General features: G+C 44.8%; 1 protein-coding gene across 14 annotated transcripts in view, besides 1 other annotated feature; it reads left to right on the top strand.

Annotated features, from left to right (window-relative positions):
• The window catches only part of ZFAT (zinc finger and AT-hook domain containing), a 354,552-nt gene that overhangs the window by 186,107 nt on the left and 147,389 nt on the right, over window positions 1-21,056 (top strand). For 13 of the 14 annotated variants that reach the window (NR_110323.2, XR_007060749.1, XR_007060750.1 and 10 more), the window contains one exon: window positions 8,521-8,772. Coding sequence is in view for 11 of the 14 variants with exons in the window: in XM_047422062.1 (XP_047278018.1) it covers window positions 8,521-8,772 (252 nt within the window). In the remaining 3 variants the exon portion in view is untranslated. Of the gene's footprint in view, window positions 1-6,419; window positions 6,459-8,520; window positions 8,773-21,056 lie in introns of those variants that run through there. The other variant, XM_011517204.3, reaches the window with a different exon arrangement.
• Window positions 14,706-14,775: an enhancer, noted in NCBI's record as "active region_28016". NCBI's record gives its function as "activates an Ori minimal core promoter by ATAC-STARR-seq in GM12878 lymphoblastoid cells {active_cell/tissue: GM12878}" and the evidence as "EXISTENCE:reporter gene assay evidence [ECO:0000049][PMID:35858748]".

Here is a 21,056-nt window from a genome sequence, read left to right as displayed (position 1 = left end):
AATGATTTCCATTCTTTTTTCTTTGAGATGGGGTTTCGCTCTTTCGCCCAGGCTGGAGTGCAGTGGCGTGATCTCGGCTCACTGCAACCTCCGCCTTCCAGTTTCAAGCGATTCTCCTGCCTCAGCCTCCTGAGTAGCTAGGACTACAGGCGCCCGCCACCACGCCCGGCTAATTTTTCTATTTTTTTTTTTAAGTAGAGACGGTGTTTCACTGTGTTGGCCAGGATGGTTCTCAAACTCCTGACCTTGTGATCCACCCGCCTCGGCCTCCCAAAGTGCTGGGATTACAGGCGTGAGCCACTGCGCCTGGCTCAGTTCTTTTAAATTTATAGAGACTTAACTTATGGCCTAAAATGTTGTCTGTTTTGGAGAATTTTTCATGTGGACTTGAGAATACTTTGTATTCTGCTGTTGCTGGGTGGCATGTTCGGTATATGTATTAGAATTTGTTGGTTTATAGGGTTATTCACATCTATTTCCTGGCTGATGCCCAGATTTTATAATTGAGGAATATGTGGCTTAGAGACTCAGAGGAGTTAAAACAGCATGTTCAAGATTACCTATATAGTAAGTGAGAGGGAGGGATTTAGGCCCAGCTGATTTGATGTTATTTGCATGTTATGGTGGTAGTCCAGGAATAATCAAATTCTTATCATTGAGCCTACTTTTATAAATTATTTTCTTTTATTAAATAATTTACTTTTGACAAATTCTTCTTCCGTATGTTTTCTTTTTTGTGTGTGTGTGTATACTAAACTACTTTTGTCTGTGTAGTTTAATTTTAAAAAGCATGAATTCCTTAGTTAAACTCAGCCTCTTAACATGACAAAAAATTTTAAAAAGTCTTTCATTATGAACTTCAAGTCTTTCTTTTTCTCTTTGTGAAAGTTCATAAAATTTGAGGCTTGTAGAGGCTTAGTTTCTCTCTAATGATTTTCATTCAGGTTTAACCTTCACAATTCATTTTAAATTGAGAGCTACTTGAAATGGTTTAATTAAACCTTTAACTGAGTAGTAATTGATTTATTATTTTGGTCTCTCGTTATAACGTGAAGCCACTGAAATCCTCTGGTTTATTTTATAGCCTTTTAATCTTTTTTGCTCATGTAGGAAGTGGTCTGCAGAAAGACCTTTCATTTTCCTTCTCTTTTCCTCATCAAACCTCTGGCTGTGATCCAAGAAGAAATTTCCTAATGGACCAAGCTCATTCTCGTGTGTGTGATCCCATGTGCGTGTGTGTGATCATATCTCTGTGTGTATGTGTATGGGTGTGTTTGTGAGTACACAGGTATGTGTGTATATGGGTGTGTTTGTGTGTGTGCATGTGATTGTGTATATAGGCACGTTTGAGTGTGCACGTTGTGTGATTGTGTATATAGATGGTGTGTGAGTGTGCACGTGTGTGATACTGTATATGTGCGCATGCGAGTGTGCATGTGTGTGATTGCATATCTGGGCACATTGTGAGTATACATGTGTGTGTGATTGTGAATATGGGCACGTTTGTGAGTGTGCTGTGTGTCGTGGGCATATGTGTAAGTGCACGTGTGTGTGGTTGTGGGCACATGTGTAAGTGCACGTTTGTGTGTGAGATTGTGTATACGGTACATTTGGGAGTGTGCACATGTGTATGTGGTTGTGTACATGGGTTGTGTATGTGGTTGTGTACGTGTGTGAGTGTGCATGTGTGTGTGGTTGTATAGGTGCTTGTGTATGTGTGTATGATTGTGTATATGGATATGTGTGTGCACGTGTATGATTTTGTATATGGGTGTGTATGAGCATGTGTGTGTGAGAGTGTGTGTGCACACGCATGCATTCATTTATCCTGATGGAGGCTGGGGCAATTGAGGAAGAATGTACATGGGTCTCCCGAGAGCCTCGTTTTGGCTCTCCCATTTTCTCTCTGATTTCAGACCCTCTGCAGGAATTCTTCCTTTCTTATCTTTCCTCTCCTCTCCCCTCCCCCTTTCCATCTCTTTAGTCATTAACTGTTTGTTGGGTGCCTGCTGTATGTCTGGGTGCTGTGCTAGGTGCTGGGGCTGCAGGAGGGGCCCACAGGCTGTTGACTCTGGCCCCCTAGCTGGTGAATGGCAAATAGGCAAAAAGGCAGTTTCAGTGCAGCAGGGCGAGTGCCTCTGCGCGGTTAAGTTCAGGCTGCTAAAGACGTCCTCTAATGTGAGGGTAAAAGGAGGCTTCCCAGGGGAAGTTGATGTCTATGTTTAAATCTGTATGTTGTCTCTTCTGGGCATTTACCACAAATCCAGTCATTCTGAGTGCATGTACGAATGTTGAGCACTCTGATCTGCCCTGGTCAGCAGCGCAGTGTAGTGGAAAGGGCACACGTCTTGGAATCAGACTTAGGCTCCATTCCTGGAGCTTTCATGTGATTGCTGGAGCCTTGGCTGGCACATAGGGACCTTTGTGCAGATTACAAAAGGCGCCCCCATTCTGAGGGGATGAGCTAGTAACAGGAGCTGTTTCTGGGTGAACAAACATAAAACGTGCTCAGGGCTGATGCAGCCAGTGCCGGAGCACACAGCTTGGCTAGTGGAATTTGGCCCTGGTAAGTCTTCAATCACCGCCTCACACAGGGTACAGCCTGCACCACAGCCTTGAGGCTCTGCTGGGGACTTAGACAAGTGGCATGGCTGTGACTTTTGTCACCTGTCAAAGAGAGATAAGATACTGACCTTTTTCATAGGTTCTGAGACAAGTGCATGTTCATACATGATGCCTTAGTCCATAGTGACTGCCTGTTAGACATTGTACCCTCCTGTACCTTACATCCGTGTACTTTCCAGCCCAGGGAGTGGGATCACACTGAAGCTTGTCACTGCATGAGACTATCGTCATTTTCCTGCAGAACTTAGTGAAGAGGTCAAAGTATATTATTTCTGTGCTTAGATATTAATTGAACTGTCCAAAGGACTTGCTATGACATGGGTATGAAGTTCACTGACTTTGAGGCAAACAGGTCTGTATTCAATTCCTGATTCTGCCATTTATTAATTCCCTGACCTTGGAGCAAATAAGTTAATCTTCTTAAGCCTCAGTGACCTCTACTATATGATGGGGATCATACTAATGCCTCCCTTGGGGATTAAATGAGGACGTGCATGTGAAGTGCTTAGCATGGTGCCTGAGATATATGTGCTTAATAATGATTAGTTATCACCATTATTTACGTGGCATTTCCACGATATGGCTGGTAAAAGTACAAGGAGCAAGCTTGGGATGCCTTCAGCCTCCCTGGTGCCTGGCATTGTGGAACAGGATGCAGTCTGTCCCTGCAAAGGGGATGTTGCATTCCTCATAAACCTAAGAGGCTTGTGTTCCCCTATTTATGATAAATAATTCATTGTCTCCCCTATTGCTTCCTGAGCTTTGGAAATAAACGTCAGGGAGATTGACTGTCAGGGCCTTAAAATGTTAGTCTTTCAGGATTTTCCAAAATTCTTGAGTTGGTGTGATTAGAGATTGAGCTGCCCTGTGCGAGTGCTGGGAAGCTGGCCGTATCCAGGGTTTTAGGCATAATAAAATTTGTGTGCCTTTAATTCTACATTGGATTTCCTGGTGTGAGAGCTATTTTAAAATGAAGAACTCAAGGAAAAAATGCGTATTGAGTCAGAATGAATGAGAATGCATGTACATCAAGAAATCACATTATCTAACTGTGGACCAGGTGGGAGGATAATAGTTTCTTAAAAGAGATATTCTAAGTCAGAATCTTAATGACTATGGCCATAATATTAAACAGTTGCCATTTATCAATCATCTCCTGAGTTCTGTGCCCAGCATTGTAATGGATTGCTTTTATCAGTAGTGACTCTATAAAATAGAGGCAGTTTTGTGTTTATTTTTCGCATTGGAAACGGAGGCTCAGGGGAGATTTGAACCCAGGTCGGTCCAGCTCCAAGCCAGCATTCTCTGCACAGCACAGATTGTCTCTATTAAAGTGTGTAGTGCTGACCTTTTCTTACCCATGCTTCAGGGGTATGTGATTCTGCAGATACATTTTTGACTGGGAATAAGGAAACCCAAATTCCAGTTCTGCGTGCTCAGCAGCTGGTTCTGGAAGATGCGCCAAGCCACTTGAACCGTTGTGTCCCTTGTTTCTTCTCCCATTGAGGACGTTGTGTTTGCTGCATCCATCTCTTAAGATTTTTATAAGGCTAAAATGAGATAATAGCTGGGAAAGTGCCTTGCAAACTTGAGTGATGCACAAATAAAGGGCTTACGTTATTAAATTGTTGATAATGTTGGGCTATTTTTTCATAGTGTTCACGTTGTGTTTTGATTGAGTTAGAAGTAATCCTTTGGCCGATTCTCTGCCCCTTGCCAGTTTTTGGCCTTGGATCTGCAAGGATGATTTTCTGACTAAGAGGAAGTTGTCCCCAAACTGTGGATTTAGAGCAGAGTTAAGAGGCACTGTGGCTCAGCCCTTTCTTCCTTTTGGAAACTGGGGACACAGGAAATGGCTTCTTTTCCAGATATTTCTTTTTCTATCATCAAACAGTGGATCAGTGTGTACTTATTAATTGTATCTACTCCACATCCAGCTCCGTTCGAGACCCTGTGGGACCCAGGAATTAAAAGGCCAGCTCAGACCTCAGGGTTTGTCATAAAAGGTGGGGAAAAATCGAAACAATCAGGGAGTGGTGTGGGCGCATACACACCCTACGTGTGTGTGGCTCACACTGTAATTCACATCAAGCTGTGGGGGTAGTCATCCTGCTCACTTAGCTGGGGACACCTCATGGAGGAGGCACTGAGGTCTTAACTGGACCGGACATGTTAGGATTTGAACTGGGGCTTGGTCTCTGATTGGTAGTGAAGGAGGTGGTCACAGCTTGGGAGAATAGTACAAGTAAGTGAAAAGAGACGGGGATTCTCTGTGTATATTTGGGGAGGTCTAGAAAATTGCCCTGAGCAGTTAAGGGGGAGGAAGAAGGAAGTGGGGTCACTGAATGTGTGTGTGTGTGCAGGTGTGTGTGTCTGTGTGTGCATATGTGCAGGGTTGGATCACGTGCTAAAGGACCTTGAAGGCCAGGCCTGAGAGTTGTGGGCAAAATCATCCAGAACAATGGAAGGTTCTAGAGTGAGGGAATGACAGATGAGGGATGGAGGCAGAGAAAGCCCAGAGCAGGAGGCTGGAATCTGGACACCGTGTGCAGGCATCTGGGTGGTGAGGTTGCTGTGTGAACAGAGAGGGGATTTACTGGAGAGACATCTTTAGGGCAAAGTCCATAGAGTTTAGTGACAGATTAAATAAAGGAATTCAGAGGGAGGAAGAGGAATTAAAGCTAACTCCATTGAAATGTTTTGATTTAGAGGTTACATGATTTTCCTTGCCCAGTCCCAAGATTCTCAGCTCTGCCATAAAATGCGAGTAGTTGACAGCAGCAACTCATTTTCAGAGCTTAAATTATTCAAGTTCATTCATGAATATTTCATTTTTAGCTAGCTAATTGGTCTTGAGGATCTGAATTATGGATGCAGCAAGCTGGAAGATTAGTTTTGTCACCATCGTGTTTGAGGTTTTCCAAAGCTTTCAGGCCGATTTTATTTTTTCCTTGCCTTGGAATTAATTGTGCATTGCTCATCAGTTTAATTCACCCAGATTTGCTGGCTGCCTGCTGCTCAGGGCACCAGGTTAGGTGCGAGGGGGATAAAAAGTAATCAGGACAGGGACTCTGCCTTCGAGGAGTCTCCAGTCTGGGGGAGTGGAGACTCACGATGTCTGCTGTACCACACGCTGTGCTGTGCTCCAGCAAGTGCAAACACTGTGGCTGTCTGTGCTCCATTGAGTCTGTGTGGAGAAAACACTGGCTACCCCGCAATAGTAAGTTTGCCAAACTCAAGCTTAAGGGCACAGTTCTCCGCAAGACGACCAAGTCTGCCCAAGACTCCTGATACCAGCCACAAGTTTGGAGGGTCTCCTGGACCACCTTTACTTCTTTCTTACTACTACAGATTTGGAAGGTCCCTGCGGCCTCTCTCAGCTTTGATAATTTGCTAGAATAACTCACACAACTCAGGAAAGCCCTGTCCTCATGATTATAATTTGATTATACTCAAAGGATGCAAATCAGAGAGCCAGTTAAAGGGAGAGAGGTGTGTGGGTAAAGTTGCAGACTGGGAAGGTTCTAGACGTGGAGCTTTTGGTCCACCCATGGAGTCCTGAGCAAAGTTACCTCTCTCCCAACTACAACATAGGACATCAGGAGGGACATCCGGGGGCCTAGAAATCACCTCCCTGTAGCCAAGGGCAAAGGCCAGACTTCTCTTTGGGTAAAGTTAATTCTTCACTCACAATCACATCCTCATAGAGTGTTTCAGGGGAGTGGCTTGTGTCTGCGGGATGGCAGAGTCTGTCACTGGGTTTAGACCTGGGCCGCAGGCTTCAGTAAACTCTTAGGCACCCTGTTTCTGGAACTCAGCTGACATGACACGAGGTGGGTGTTTTGTAGCCTCTCTGCTAATTCTGCTTCTCTGATATGAATTGCTGCTTCAGTAGATTGTGCAAGTACACGTTGTTGTGAAGAAGAATAAGGAGAAAAGTTTTAAAGACTCCAAGGGAAATGGTTTCTTACTCTGTACCTTGTATTTCTTTCCTCCCATCTCCCTTGCACACAGGCTGGTTCTCCTGTAAACACAGGCTTTTTTCTCCTTGTTTAAATCTAGGGAGGGCTCCCAGGGCCTTCTGTCCCTTGTTTTATCTGGTTTGCCTTCCTATCATTAAGTACCTTCTTCTTCTTTGTGCTCCCCTGCCCACCATGCCCCAGGGAGATAGAGTGAAGGCAGGAATCTCGCTGGTTGCCTTAGTGCAGGACTCTGGTTTGGATCTTTCAGCCAAGGCTGACCCACTCACCAGTGGCGTTGCAGTTTGGTTGAAGCTCTGTTCCAGCAAGGGCCCTCCTTTCCCAGGAAATCTCTTGCTTCATTCTGGTGCCAGGTTTCCCTGAGGTCTTGGGTACCCCGTACCAAGGCAGGCTTCTTTGTTCAGATTCCCTGTGGTCAGGCTGTTGTGTCCCTGCAGACTCTGCCCCAGACTGTTCTGCCCATCTCTGCTCCCCTTTGCCCCTGTGGCCTCCCTCTCTGATTTGTGAGCACAAGTGACTTACTTAACGGGTCCTCATGGTAATAGCAGTAGATAAAGTGGCTGGTGTCCTACTGTGCAGAGCAACAGCTTTAGAGAGAGCAGGAAGGGACCTGAGAGACATTCTACAGATGCACGTGTACCCAAGATGGTGCCAGAATCTAGTACTCCTTCCTCTACCCCAATGTTCAGGTTCAAAGAGGGTTGCTGAAGTGCCACTCCTCTGCCAGACAGATGACTGGCATTGGGGATGTCAGCCAGGCTGCTGGCGGCTCTCTGCTTGGTCTCGCTCAGGGACATCTCCTAAGTCTCATCGTTGAAGACCACACCCCTCCACCTTCACACAACTGGATGAGATGCTCTGCTCCCTGCCCTGCTCACCCATCTTTTTTTTTTTTTATTTGAGATGGAGTCTCGCTCTGTTGCCCAGGCTGGAGTGCAGTAGTGTGATCTCAGCTTACTACAAGCTCTGCCTCCCAGTTCACGCCATTCTCCTGCCTCAGCCTCCTGAGTAGCTGGGACTACAGGTGCCCGCCACCACGCCTGGTTAATGTTTTTTTTTTTTGTTTTGTTTTTTTTTTGTATTTTTAGTAGAGACAGAGTTTCACCATGTTAGCCAGGATAGTCTCGATCTCCTGACCTCGTGATCCGCCCACCTCGGCCTCCCAAAGTGCTGGGATTACAGGCGTGAGCCACCGCGCCTGGCCCCCGCTCACCCCTCTTAATTCCCACCTTCATTCCGGAGATGAATGCCTTAAAAATTAACACTAATTGAGAAGAAACACAAGTTGTAAAATGATTTTAAACTTGCTCTAAAGCAGCTGTGATCATGCCATTGAAAATCACTAGGTCGCTAGGAAACTGGAAAAATATTGTTATTGTCTTTAGTGCTATAATTTGTGGCTTTAGATTGTAATTATTTTTTCTTTTTCTTGCCAGGACAATTTGACTCTAATAATTATGACTCCTTGAAATAATCTGAATAGTTTTGTAACTCATTAAGGGCATGACAAGCTCAGCAGCCTTTGAGAACGCTTTGCAAAGGAGTCCCTAAGCAGTTTCTGAGAACTGGATTTCAGTGGAAATGGTGCTTAACAAGGGGCAGGATTTGTGAACGGGGGGTTGACAGCCGCAACTTAAAATCCTGTCAGCATTGCTGGAGAAAGATGTACAGCGATGCTGATAAACTGATGGTCTTGAATCAGAACATTAGAAAATTGATTACCCATTAGTACACAGATGCAATGATATTAGCACCAACGATAATTGTTTGCAGCTGTTAATGTCTGGAATCACTTTAGACTTTTCATTTTTAATGAAACGTGAAACCTGAACATATCCTCACACTTGGAGGGTGATTGTGAACCCTGCACTGCCGTCTCACGTGATTCCATTGTGCCCTCTTGTTTCCTCTGTAGAGTTTTTGGTCATGAAGAGGAAGAGAGGCAGGCCTAAGGGGTCCACGAAGAAGTCCAGCACAGAAGAGGAGCTGGCAGAAAACATCGTGAGTCCGACTGAGGACAGCCCGCTGGCTCCGGAGGAAGGGAACAGCCTGCCTCCAAGCAGCTTGGAGTGTAGCAAGTGCTGTCGGAAGTTCTCCAACACGCGCCAGCTGCGGAAGCACATCTGCATTATCGTGCTGAATTTGGGTGAGGAGGAAGGAGAAGCAGGTAAATGCTGCCAAAGGGCTGAACATGTCAATTTCTTATGAAGAGGTGTATCTGCTAATATCAGGTTTCACTGGGTCAGTTTTTACTTGGAAATAGCACATATTTATTCAGCTCTCACCCATCTGGAAAAGTGCTTATTTTCCTAATGATGACTATTACCGTAAGTAGTCTTTGAAGTGAATGTGTCATCTGGGAGTTGATGCCCATGGCATGCAGGTCAGGGGACTGCTTTGCTAGATGCTTTGAGAGTTGCAGGGATGGTAAAACACAGCCTCTCTCTTTGCTGAGCTTATGTTCTGGGAAAGAAGACAAGGTTTTAAATGCATCATGTTAATCGATAACAAATTGTCAGCAGGAGAAAGCATTCTGATGGAAAGTCAGGAGTGAATCTGGTGTCACAGTTTGGGTGGCATTGAATTGAAGGAAGGACGTCTTAGTGGATGGATGGGGCCATGTGGGCCAAAGTGCAGAGATTAGGATCCTCAAGGCTCCTATGAGGGACCTCGATGGGCCAGCATTGGCTGAGGACTAGATTTCAGTGGGCATTCTTGAAGAAAATAAAGACTATCGGGTGCCTCCTTCAGATACATTCTTGACTAGGCTTCAGCTCTGAAGCAGCTTCTAAAAGAGGCTGAAAGGCGGATAGATGTGGTCAGGGAATGAAGTTGCTGTGGGGTAGTGTGTCTGCAGATGGCCTTCGTCGGAGGAATGAAATAGCAAGGCTACGCTGGAGCAGTTAGGGCCTCTGCTGTGGGTTCTGTTGTTGTTGAGTCCTTGCACCATTTTTGAAGCCTTCAAACTGTACCCCATGTTTAAGTTCTTTCTGTTTTGTATTGTGCTAACCATGTTATGTGGGAAGCAGTTCTCATTAAGAACATAGGCTCTGGGTTACGGCTGTCTGGGTTTGCATTCCAGCTTCAGCACTTATTAACTTAATTTTGCCTCAGTTTCCTCATCCGTAAAATTGGAATAAAAGCAGTCCTGTCTCCTATGGTTGCTTTGACAATTAAGTAAGATAGGACTTAGAAAGTGCTTCCAGTAGTACCTGCTATATCAAAAGCACCAAGTGAATGCCAGCTATTACAGTGAGCCGTTCATAACCACATGGATACAGTATTGTTGTCATCCTTCCTGCTTCCTGGATAAGGGCGTTTAGACTCTGAGAGATGAAGTAATTTGTTTAGGGTCCTTTAGTTAGTAAGGGGACCTGGCCTTTGAACCCAGGCCATCCTACTCTGACCCCTGTTCTTAAATTCCTCACCATAAATGCCTCCCTACAATAAGCAAGACTCTTGGTTTGCAAAACCCTATCATAGTTTGGGTGAATTATTGAGTAACTCATCAACTAATATTTATGGAGCATCTAGGTTGGTGGCCAAGGCTCATTGCCAACATCTGTACAAGTTGTAGAAAATACCAGACACTGTTCCCTCTCATAAAGAACTCTCAAGGCAATGATGTAAAACCTTGTGGGGCTGCACGGGCTCATGAAAATAACCCATGAGGATCAAAGGAGGTGGAGCTGTCCCTAAATGGAGCCTGAGTAATTGCCGTGTGAGAGCTGTAGGCCCGGAGTGCTGTCATTTCAGAAGAATCTGCATCGTGTTTCAGAACCTAAAGTCCTTTTGGGAAATAAAGATAATTTTAGAAATGAGATGGTTGAAAGAGGAAGGATTAGGATAGACCTCCCCTGAACCCGAAGCTCTGATTTCCAGTGATTTGTTAATCACTGGATTTGGGTTACAGAGTCTTTCCCCCACCCTCTTGTGCGTGCATGCACACTCTCTCTCTCCCTGTCTCTCTCTCTCTCTCCCTCTCTCCCTGACTCTCTCTCTCTCTCCCTGTCTCTCTTTCTGTCTCACATGCATACATATGCATGCCCCCTGCTCCGGCACAGCTAGGTAACGACGTTGCATTTTAATCAGTGCTAGCCATCGAGGCAGCTCTGCTGTCTGTAGTTTCTGCACTGCCTGAGCCCTTCAGAGAATCTAGTTCTCTCCGATCATTTTCTGCTGTCTTCTCGAGAATCCCTTTTGTTTGTACCTTCACAGGGTTTTTCCTGTCAGGTTCCTTCTGAGACACTCCTGGACTTTCTGCACAATTGTGGCTAGAAATCAGAGACTTTGCTCTTTGGCAACACTAAATTTTTCTGCTTTCCATTCTTCCAGACCTCAGGTCAAGCTCTGGGTTTGAGGCTCAAAGTCAACAGCACAGACCCTGGAGGCCCAGAAGTTCAGCTGGGTCTGTGGCCGTTCCCCAGTCTGCACTGCCCTTAGGGTCAACTCTCTAAAACAGGGGTCCCCAATCCCTGGGCCGCAGGTTTGTACGGGTCTGTGGCCTGTTAGGAACCAGGCTGCACAGCAGGTGAGTGGTTGGTGAGCGAGCATTACCACCTGAGCTCTGCCTCCTGACAGATCAGCTGCGACACTCGCTTCTCATAGGAACATGAGCCCTATTGTAAACTGCACATGCCAGGGATCTACGTTGCGTGCTCCTTATTGAGAATCTAATGCTTGAGATCTGAGGTGGAACAGTTTCATCCCCAAACCACCCCACCCCGCCATCTGTGGAAAAATTATCTTCCATGAAACCAGTCCCTGGTGCCAAAAAAGTTGGGGACTGCTGCTCTAAAACAGAGTGCCTTAGTGTCTCCCCATCACAGCAGAGTACAGAGTCTTTCTCCCTGCATGTTCAAGACCCTCACCAAAACCATCTTTCCGTGTGGCTCTGTGGCATCATTTGTCAGTGACATAAAGTATTCTGTTTTTTGTACCAACCAGGGTACACTTGATGAAAACTTAGGTTTTTATCAATTTTTCACTGTTGTAAATACTGCTTTAATAACTATTCCTAAATGTGTGTGTGTGTGTGTCAATATGTATACATATTTGTAGACTTGTGTTATGATTTTTGTAGGATAAATTCCTAGAACCAGATTGCTGGGTTGGAAAGTGTGTTAATATTGCGCCCAGAAAGCTCACATCAACTTATATTCCAGAAGTGTCTGAGAATGCCTATTGGATATTATTACTTTTGTTTGTTTTAGTTTTTAATACCTGTAATGAAACAGAAAATACTAAGAAAGTGAAAATATTCCAAAATTTCACTGCCTGGGGTCAATGACTGTTACACTGAAAAAGAGAAGGCCCTCCTCCATTCTTTGTACACCCATATGTATTTTTCAGAACTGAGATTATTCATAATATTCTGTGATCTTTTTTCACTCACTAATGTGGCAGATAAATTTTTCATGACAATATTTTTTATTTAACAAGCTGTTTTCTAGCGCTTTTTTATGCTACAGTTGCTGTTCTCAGTGTTTTACAACTAATAGTCATTTTAATTCTCATGGTAGCTTAAGAGATAGGCACTATTTTTGTTGTTGTTGTTTGTTTTGTTTTGTTTTGTTTTTTTGAGATGGAGTTTTGCTCTTGTTGCCTAGGCTGGAGTGCAGTGGCGCAATCTCAGCTCACTGCAACCTCTGCCTCCCAGGTTCAAGTGATTCTCCTGCCTCAGCCTCCCAAGTAGCTGCAATTACAGGCATCTGCCACCACGCCCGGCTAATTTTTTGTATTTTTAGTAGAGATGGAGTTTCACCATGTTGACCAGGCTGGTCTTGAACTCTTGACCTCAGGTGATCCACCTCACTTGGCCTCCCAAAGTGTTGGGATTATAGGTATGAGCCACTGTGCCTGGCCAAGGTATGCACTATTGTTATTCCCATTTTATAGAAGAGCAAACTAAGGCACAGATGTTTCAGCCGTTGGCTTTGGTCACACAGCCCATATGTGGTGGAGCTGGTTGTGAGCGAGGTGGGCTGGCTCCAGGGTCTGTGCTTTTGACTGCTTTGCTGTGTGTCCTTACCCAAAACAGTGTTACTTGTTGTCATTTTTAAAGGCTGTACAGCATTTCTTCATATGCATGGGCATACCTCATTTTGCTTCATTGGTCTCTAGTTGATGGGCATTTAGAATTGTTTTAAAATTTTCTCTCTGATCAAAAAGCACTACTCAGGTGAACAGTCCTGAGCATGCATTTCAGATTTATTATTATTATTTTTTGCACTTATGCCATTATCTTAAATGACTAATAATGAAATGCTTGTTAAGTTGTTATTTAACGAGCTGTTTTTTAGTGCTTTTTATTTTGCAGTTGCTGTTTCTCAGTGTTTTACAGCTAATAGCTCTTTTAATTCTCATAGCAGCTAAGAGGTAGGCACTATTGTTATTCCCATTTTATAGAAGAGGAAACAGAGACACAGATAGTTTCAGCAGTTCGCTTGGATAGATCACACAGTCTGTAAGTGTATCTTTTAGTTTCCTTTGTAGCATTGCTTTTTTTTTTCTTTTGCATTAGGAAAATGCAAATAGGGCATATTTTACATTTTGACGCGCATACGTATTGTCAAACTGCCCTGTAGAATGTGCGTATCAATTATTTTTCCGTCATGGGCCATGTCCTCAGATAGCCTTTATCCTTTTCATCCTGGGTTGTGTCAGCCTCTGTCCTTGCCAGTCTCTTTTGTGAACAGTTTGCTTTAATTGTTTTAATTTGTTGCCCCTTGGTCACTAGTGAGCTATCTCTGTTACAGTTTTTAGTTATTTGTGTTTTTTTGTGTGATTGGGGGCATTCTGTGTTCATGCACTTTACTTATACCTTTGAATGATCATATATGCTGAAAATATTTTCTGCAATTTGTCATTTGTCTTTTAATTTTCTTTGTAGCATTGCTTTTTTTCCTTTTGCATTTTGCTGGAGTTTTAAATTTCTGTATTGTCACCACTGTTTGTATCGTATTGTCAAATGTATCTTTTACATTTTTTGCCCTTTTATCATAGTTTACAAAATTTACCTCATATCCCCTCCAATTTAAAAAAAATGCTTCTGTTTCTCTGTTATCTGTATGGTTTTATGTATATCTTTGATTCATTTGGACATTGCATTTTTGTTTTCTGTAAGTTGTGAAGTAAGGCAGTTATATAGTTGACTTTTTAACAAGGTGGGGATTAAGGGCACCATCCCACTGTCAACAGTTATTTTCAAGTATAACTTTTGACTCTCCTCAAACTTAACTAGTAATAATCTACTGTTGGCCAGAAGCCTTACCAATAGTCAATTAACACATATTTGGTATGTTATATGTATTATATACTATTTCCTTATAATAAAGTAAGCTAGAGAAACAAAAATGTTACTAAGAAAGTCATAAGGAAGAGAGAATATGTTTACTGTTCATTAAGTGGAAGTGGATCATCATAAAGATCTTCATCTTCATTCTCCTCATGTTGAGTAGGCTGAGGAGAAAGAGGAGGGGTTGGTCTTTCTGGAGAGGTCAGAGAGATGGAAGAAATTTCAGTATAAGTTTCCCCTTGCAGTTCAAACCCATGTTGTTCAAGGGTCAACTGTATATATTTGACCAATAAATCTAGGGAAAGGAATTATCTTAATAAATATAATTCAGTAGATAAAATATTTGAAGTCATAGATAGGGTCCACGGAGAAAATACAGATCTGGCAGTTCAAAGTCTCAAAAACCCCTTAAAAAATAAAACTTTGTGTTTTGAAATAATTATGAATTCACAGGAAGCTACAAAGATAATACAGAAGAGTCCCATGTGTTCCTCATCTGGTCTCCCCCAGTGGCTACACCCTACACAACTCTAGCGCAGTATCAGAATCAGGACTTTGGCCTTTGAGTGCGCGTGGCTTGCTGCCAATTTGCCACTCACAAGTATGGCCTGTGCTCACCACCAGGAGGCAGAACTGCTCTGTTGTCACAGGGCCAGGCACCCTGTCCCTCAATTGTCACCCTCGCCTAGCAGCTGCCAGCCTGTTCTCCAACTGTGTGATTTTGTCATTTTGGGAACACTGTGTAAATGGACTCACACAGTATGTGACCTTTTGTGGTTGGCTTAAAGAACTCCCCTTTTAGACCTAAGTTCTAATTTTATGACTGAAGAATTTGAGATGCAGAAGCGATGATGATCAGGTCACATGACTCATTTGGGGCTGGTTGGGGCCCGTGTCTCCCGACTCCTGCCCCGTTACCAGTTTGCTCTATCACGTCTGTGCCTTAAGACCACTCTCATTTCTACCTCATGGATGGAGATTTTCTCCAGTTCAGCATGTCTCTGTCATATTTTTGTCTAACCTTATAAGCGATGGAAGTGGCACCCTGTGTGGATTCCTGATGCTTATTTTCTACTCTGTAATAATTAGGCAGTCTCTTCAGCAATGGCAGACAGACAGGGTCCTTTCTAATCAGATTATCGGCTTCCTCCAGGAATAGCAGTAGAGAAAATGGCCTCCTATTCCATTGATTTGAATGACCTAAATTGACTTTAATTTAACAAATACCAAATGGAAAGATAGACGCTCTGGGTGTTTTTTCCTTTCCAGCCACGGTTGAAGCTCTAAAATATGCAGAAATGACCTTATGCCCAGCTGCCTTGTGGCTGGCATCCATGTGATTGCACCGTGTTCTCTAGTTTGCCAAGCACAATATCACAATTTGGAAAATTCTCGAGTAATTGTTTTAATATGTGCTCTGTCAAGAGCAGTCTAGTGACATTTCAAACAACTGACCTTGGCTCTATAGCTTGTTAAAACAATTAGAAGAAAACAAAATAAACTTTTTCTTACCCTGAACCATGGCAAGTTAAAATAACTCTTTTGATATGTTTTCAACATTTATTTATTTTATTCTGCATTTGAATGGTAGCAGAAACCAGGAAAAGAGATTTTTTTTTCCTGTAGTTATGTAGAACAGCTGGTGTTTTGAAAATGTTTTGCAGCCTACAGAAATCAATATGTCAAATTTATAAAAGTGACTTCTGAACTTTTCTAAGCTTGTTATTTCTGGGGTCATCTTAGGCAAGGAGAGTTGTGAAAATTTCCTCTTATTCTCATTAAATTCTTCCTGTCAAAGACAAGGCATTCATTTTATGGTCTTAAGATCCACCTGTAATCTTCATGATGATTTTTTATTACAGTGTTTCAAGTCTCTGCCTTCTACTGTATTTGTGTTAGCAAAACAGATGGCTTGATAAATACCTGCCATGACTGAAAATGTTTTTGAGTGAGTCATGTTTGAAAATTTGCAGGTGAAAATGTGTTTCTGAACATCCCACATTTGTCTGTGGAAAGATGGATAGTGGTAATGTCTGTTTCTTTTTGCTGCCTGTAAACCCTCATTTTTTCCTCTGTACTAACTAGGTGAGTGGAAACCCAGTGGTCTCCAGCCGTGCTTGGTCTTGGGCGTACTTGTGAGTGTGGCTTCTGCATGGCCCAGTTCATGCCACTGCTCCTGCCTGCCTGCTCTGTGAGTGGCCCCTCTTCTGCCTATCATGTCACTGTCCCTGATTAAGGGGAGACCTGGTTACACCTGATAGCAGAGCTACCCTGAGTGACAGTGGCTCTATATTCCTGTGTTTGCTTTCTTGTCGGTGTTGCAGGTCCTCAGGGACTCTGCTTACTCAGGGACCCAGCTGGAGTGAGCAGCCACCATCTTGAAGGTAGCTGGTCATGGTACAGGAGGGAAGAGAGCCTGGGTGGTTTCACCTTGGCTCAGAAGAGCATCTGTCATTTCTTCTCTCCACAGTTCACTTGCCAGTGTATTAGTCCGTTTTCACACTGCTATAAAGAACTACCTGAGACTGGATAAGTTATGAAGAAAGGTTTAATTGATTCACAGTTCCACAGGCTTAACAGGAAGCATGACTGGGAGGCCTCAGGAAACTTACAATCATTGCAGAAGTTGAAGGGGAAGCAAGGACCGTCTTTATATGGTGGCAGGAGAGAGAGTGAATGAAGGGGGAAGTGCCTCACACTTTTAAACCATCATATCTCATGAGAACATCAGATCTCACTATTATGAGAACAGTAAGGAGGAAATCCACCCCCATGATCCAATCACCTTCCACCAGGCCTCTCCTCCAATTCAACATGAGATTTGGGTGGAGACACAAATCCAAACTATATCAGCCAGCAGGGAATCACATGGCCCCACCTGAGTTCAAGGGCCCAAGAAGTGCAGTTCTGCCCTATTCTCGGGGTAGGGGAGCCCTGGAAATGCTTGGTGACCGTCACTAGTGACGGCCGCATGGTTCTTATCCATTTGCCTGATTTCACCACCAGCTGTGTTCTCATGTCTTGCAAATATCTTCCTTGCCCATGTTTCAGTTTGGGTGTCCCCCAGGCAGTTTAAGTTATGCAGTGTGTTCAATCCGAAACTCATCCAGCTCCCAACTGATGATCCTCCTCTATTTCATCCTGCTGACTGGCCCCCACCATTCAGCCAGAAACATCCCCGTCACATCCCGACACTTACCGTGGTCGATTGACTACCTGCTGAATATCACTTCAATCCTTCCCCTATCCCTGCTGTTGTCCTCGTGGGTCCATCATCTTTTCTGTGGACTCTGTGACAGCTCCAGTCTGCCTATTTACCCCAATTCATGCTCTGTGTACACCAGTGGTTTGCAGATATTTTGGGGGATTTATCCCCATTAAATATTTATTTAGTAATAAGCTGCATTTTTAAAATTCAATAAGCATCTGTAGAGTTCTTACTATGGGCCTGCCTCTCTTCTGAGTGTCTTACAAATATTAATTCATTTCCTCTTCATAAAAGCCCTATGAGGTAGTTACTGTTTTTATTCCCATTTCATGGATGAGGAAACTGGGGCAAGCATCCTATCCAGTGTCACCCTGTAGTAAGCAATGGACCAGGGATGTAGACTCAGGCCTTTTGGCTCAGATACATAGACTGCTGTATTAATATGCTATAGGTGTTATAATACACACATGGTATTATAATGGTAAGTTTCAAAAGGATGAGTTAAGAAAGGTAAAGAAGAATTCTTTTTTATTCCCGAATTTCAGTGGATTTTCCTAGGCATCCCCTGGCTGTATGCCTTTCACCTTCCACCTTGTCTCCCTAGCGTTAAGCATCTTTATGACATATGAACCCATCTTATCCTTACTCTGAACGCACCCCTTTGTGACACCCACTGCTGTTCAGGGACAGCCTAAGCGCCTTAAGAACCTGCTATGTTACTTAGGACCTAGCCGCTGCCTGCTCTGCACCCTGACTTCTTACCCTCTCCCACTTTGCCCACCTCTAGATCTGCAGTGAACCTCTGAAAGCCTCCAGTGTCCTGTGCCCTCACCATCTCTTGTACATGTCATTCTTTTTGCTTGTGATGTCCGTTTGCCCTTTTACCTCTGAATATGCTTGACCTTCAATGATCCTGGCATATGCAGAAGCCCCCTGAGCCAGCGGGGCCCCATCCTGTCATCTGTCCCTTCTCTATGGAATGCCACAACCCTCTCCTGTGCCAGTGATTCCTGCTGGTCTTCAAGTCACAGCTTTATTTCCCCTTTCCAGGCCCAGCTCCAGAGTCCCCCTCCCTTGTGCTCAGCTTCCCAGCAGATCTGGGCTTCTCATTGTGCCGCGCACGTGCCTCGGTGTGTTGGAATTGCTGGTGTGTGTATTTGTCTCCAAACTGAGAAGGCAGGAATCCACACTTGCACCACGGCCTGGTTCCCTGTGGACAGAATAGGGACACATCTCTCTTTTCTTTACCAAAGTCCAGGGCCAGACTCTAGTCCTTGGTGGATTCGGCACAAACAGACCAAGTAACTTTTTCTGTGTGGGTGTATCACTTCCTGGCTCTGTCTGTAGCATTCAGAACAGTGCCGGGCACACAGCAAGTGCTCAGTGAATATCTTTTGAGTGAAAATATGGATTCTCATACAGCAGACACAAGAACTGTACAATATCTAATGGGTGGGAAACCCAAAGTTAATTATTTTATACCTTGCATTTGTATTTCTCTGTGGTGTGGCCCAGTGACTCAGATGAGGCCCTGGGTAGGTACATGTTGTGGCTGACTGGCTGCCATCTATACTTGCTCCCATGCATTTCTGAATCTGCAGATGCTTTAGTTCTTTTTCCTCCTGCTCTCCTGCTTTTCACATTTCGGCTTCAGCTATCAGTTTTTTCACTGGTACTTAAGGGTTATGTATGGAAGTTACCTCTTGTTTGCCGTCTAATGCAGCCATTTGAATTGGAAACCTTGGAGCCATCTCGAATTCCTCCTTTTGTCTCATCTGCAAATCTCTCAGTCCCCAGTCCTGCCAACATTTCTTCCTTCCTCTCATTGCCCCAGGTCCACTGTCATCACCTCTAATGCAGACAGTTTTGCAACAGTCTTCAGACTGGCCGCTCTCCTTCTGAGTCTGCTCCCTATAAGCCCGCACTCCCAGAATGGTGTAAAATACATGGGGTCAGGCTGCTTCCTGCCGGTGGGCCTCCCGTGGCTTTCCCTCCCCTGCTCTTGCTGGACATGGATGGATCTCACCCTGTCCTGAGACTGCTTTGTCTTAGGCCACTGTCTCTGTATGCCATTGGCCCCCACTGGTCTTATGGATTCTTTTGTGCAGGCAGAGCTTTCTTCCTGGGAAGCCCCCTGTACCCTCAAAGCTAGCTAATGAATTCTGTCTCATTCTTTATGGCATGCACAATCCCTCAATGTAGGCAGTCCCGGCAAACATCTGCCTGGTGAAAGTACCTGTGTATGACCTTTATTACTCCAGCAGCTTCTTATACTTTACATAGTTCAGATAAAAAGCTCAGATAAATGACAGTAAGCTACATTATCAGAGTTGTTTAGAGAAGGAAGAAAGTGTGGGCCCCAGAGCCTTGAGCCCATGGGGAGCTCCAGCATGCCCAGAGGTGGGCCTGGATGAGCAAACTGCAGTGTTAACCAGGCTGCTGAGTTTTACATACTTGTGTTTACACACTTCCAAACTTCCCTGAGCCATCCCCTCCAGAACTTCCCAGAGATCCGTGGAATCCCAGTTCTTGGCTCAGCAGGGATTGTGAAGCTCACCTGCCCCAGCTGGGCTCCCCAGTGACGCTGCCTCTTCTTCTGTGTGACCATCTGCCTCTGCTGCTGTGTGGGGCACTGTGTCTCTGCTCTGATTCGACCACTGGGGCAGGGCACCATTCTCTTTTTTAGATGAAGAAGCTGAGGCTCTGCTAGGTGAAGGAAGTTGCCTAAGCCCAGCTAGAGAGTACCTGTTGGAACAGGGATTCTGGTCTAGGACCCTTGGACTTTCCAGCTCAAGCTCTTGCCACGTGGATCCATCAGTCTTCAGGGATGCTGCTGCTGATTGGGTGGTCCTCCGATTCTCCACGCTCCCCTGCTTCAGAGTCGTGTGAATTCAAACCTCCAGTCCTGTTGGCAGTGATGTCTTCCTGAGAGACATGTCAGATAGAAACAGGGCTGACACTGCAGCCCCCCTCTCCCACTGCTGCTTATTGTGACTCTTAATGACCAAAGGGTACTCAGGGCCTTTTGCAGGGGCAGAATCCCACCCCAGCAGAACTGTGAAAGGAAGACTTTCTTCCTCAGCATCTTGGAGGTCACCCTGCGGCTGCTGGCTCTCAGGGACTATGTGGTAGGCTGGTGTCTGGAGGCAAAGGGAGTGGCCTCATCCTACAGTTGCTCTCTGAAGTGCAGCGATTTTCAGTGTGGAGGGTCCACGATTGATCCAGTGTGATGTAGCCCATGGCACAGGGGGCCTTTGCTCTAATTAACGGTCTCACGGTGACCATGCCTGAGACCGGAGAAGTACTGAACACGTGGCTCACGGCTCGTGCCCAGCAGCCTGTACATCTGGACATACTGCTGGGGCTGAGGCTTCCCATCACAGGGAGATTGGCTAAAGTCAAGGGCTGAGTGAGACTCCTGCAGCAGGCAGAATCTCTTCTCTTTTTTTCTCCCACTTCCTGAACTTGTGCTATTGTTGGGCACCAAGTCAGACTTTGGGGATCAAAGTTGAGTAAGACAAGTCTATTCCCTTGAGCAGCTGAGTGCCTGGGGAGGAGGACAGTGATGTAAATAGACAACCAAATGTGGTGAGGTGAACCACCTGCAGAGGGAGCAGGGCAGGACCACTTGCTGGAGCGTTTCCTGGAAGGCTTCTTGAAGGAGGAGGTAGCCCTGAACTCCATCTCTGAGGATGACTTGGGACTGGGGGAGAAGGTGGAGAAGGAGATGGAATAGGCATTTCTCTCGTGATGGTTCATACAAAAGCCTGCAGATAGGGGAATGCAGGCACATTTGAGGTCTGGGACAATCACTGCAGTTAGTATGTAAGGCCGCCATGGGTGACCTGTGAGACAATGGCCTCGTGCCCTTCACAGGTTTATTTTCCTGGCAGTTTCTCTTTATTGGGAAGAGCACATGCTGGAAGCAGGTGCCTGCCTGTTCTTC

Source organism: Homo sapiens, chromosome 8 (genome assembly GCF_000001405.40).
Source record: "Homo sapiens chromosome 8, GRCh38.p14 Primary Assembly".
Classification (NCBI taxonomy): Eukaryota; Metazoa; Chordata; class Mammalia; order Primates; family Hominidae; genus Homo; species Homo sapiens.
Note: the sequence above shows the minus strand (reverse complement) of the source record. Positions and strands in the feature narration are given on the sequence as shown.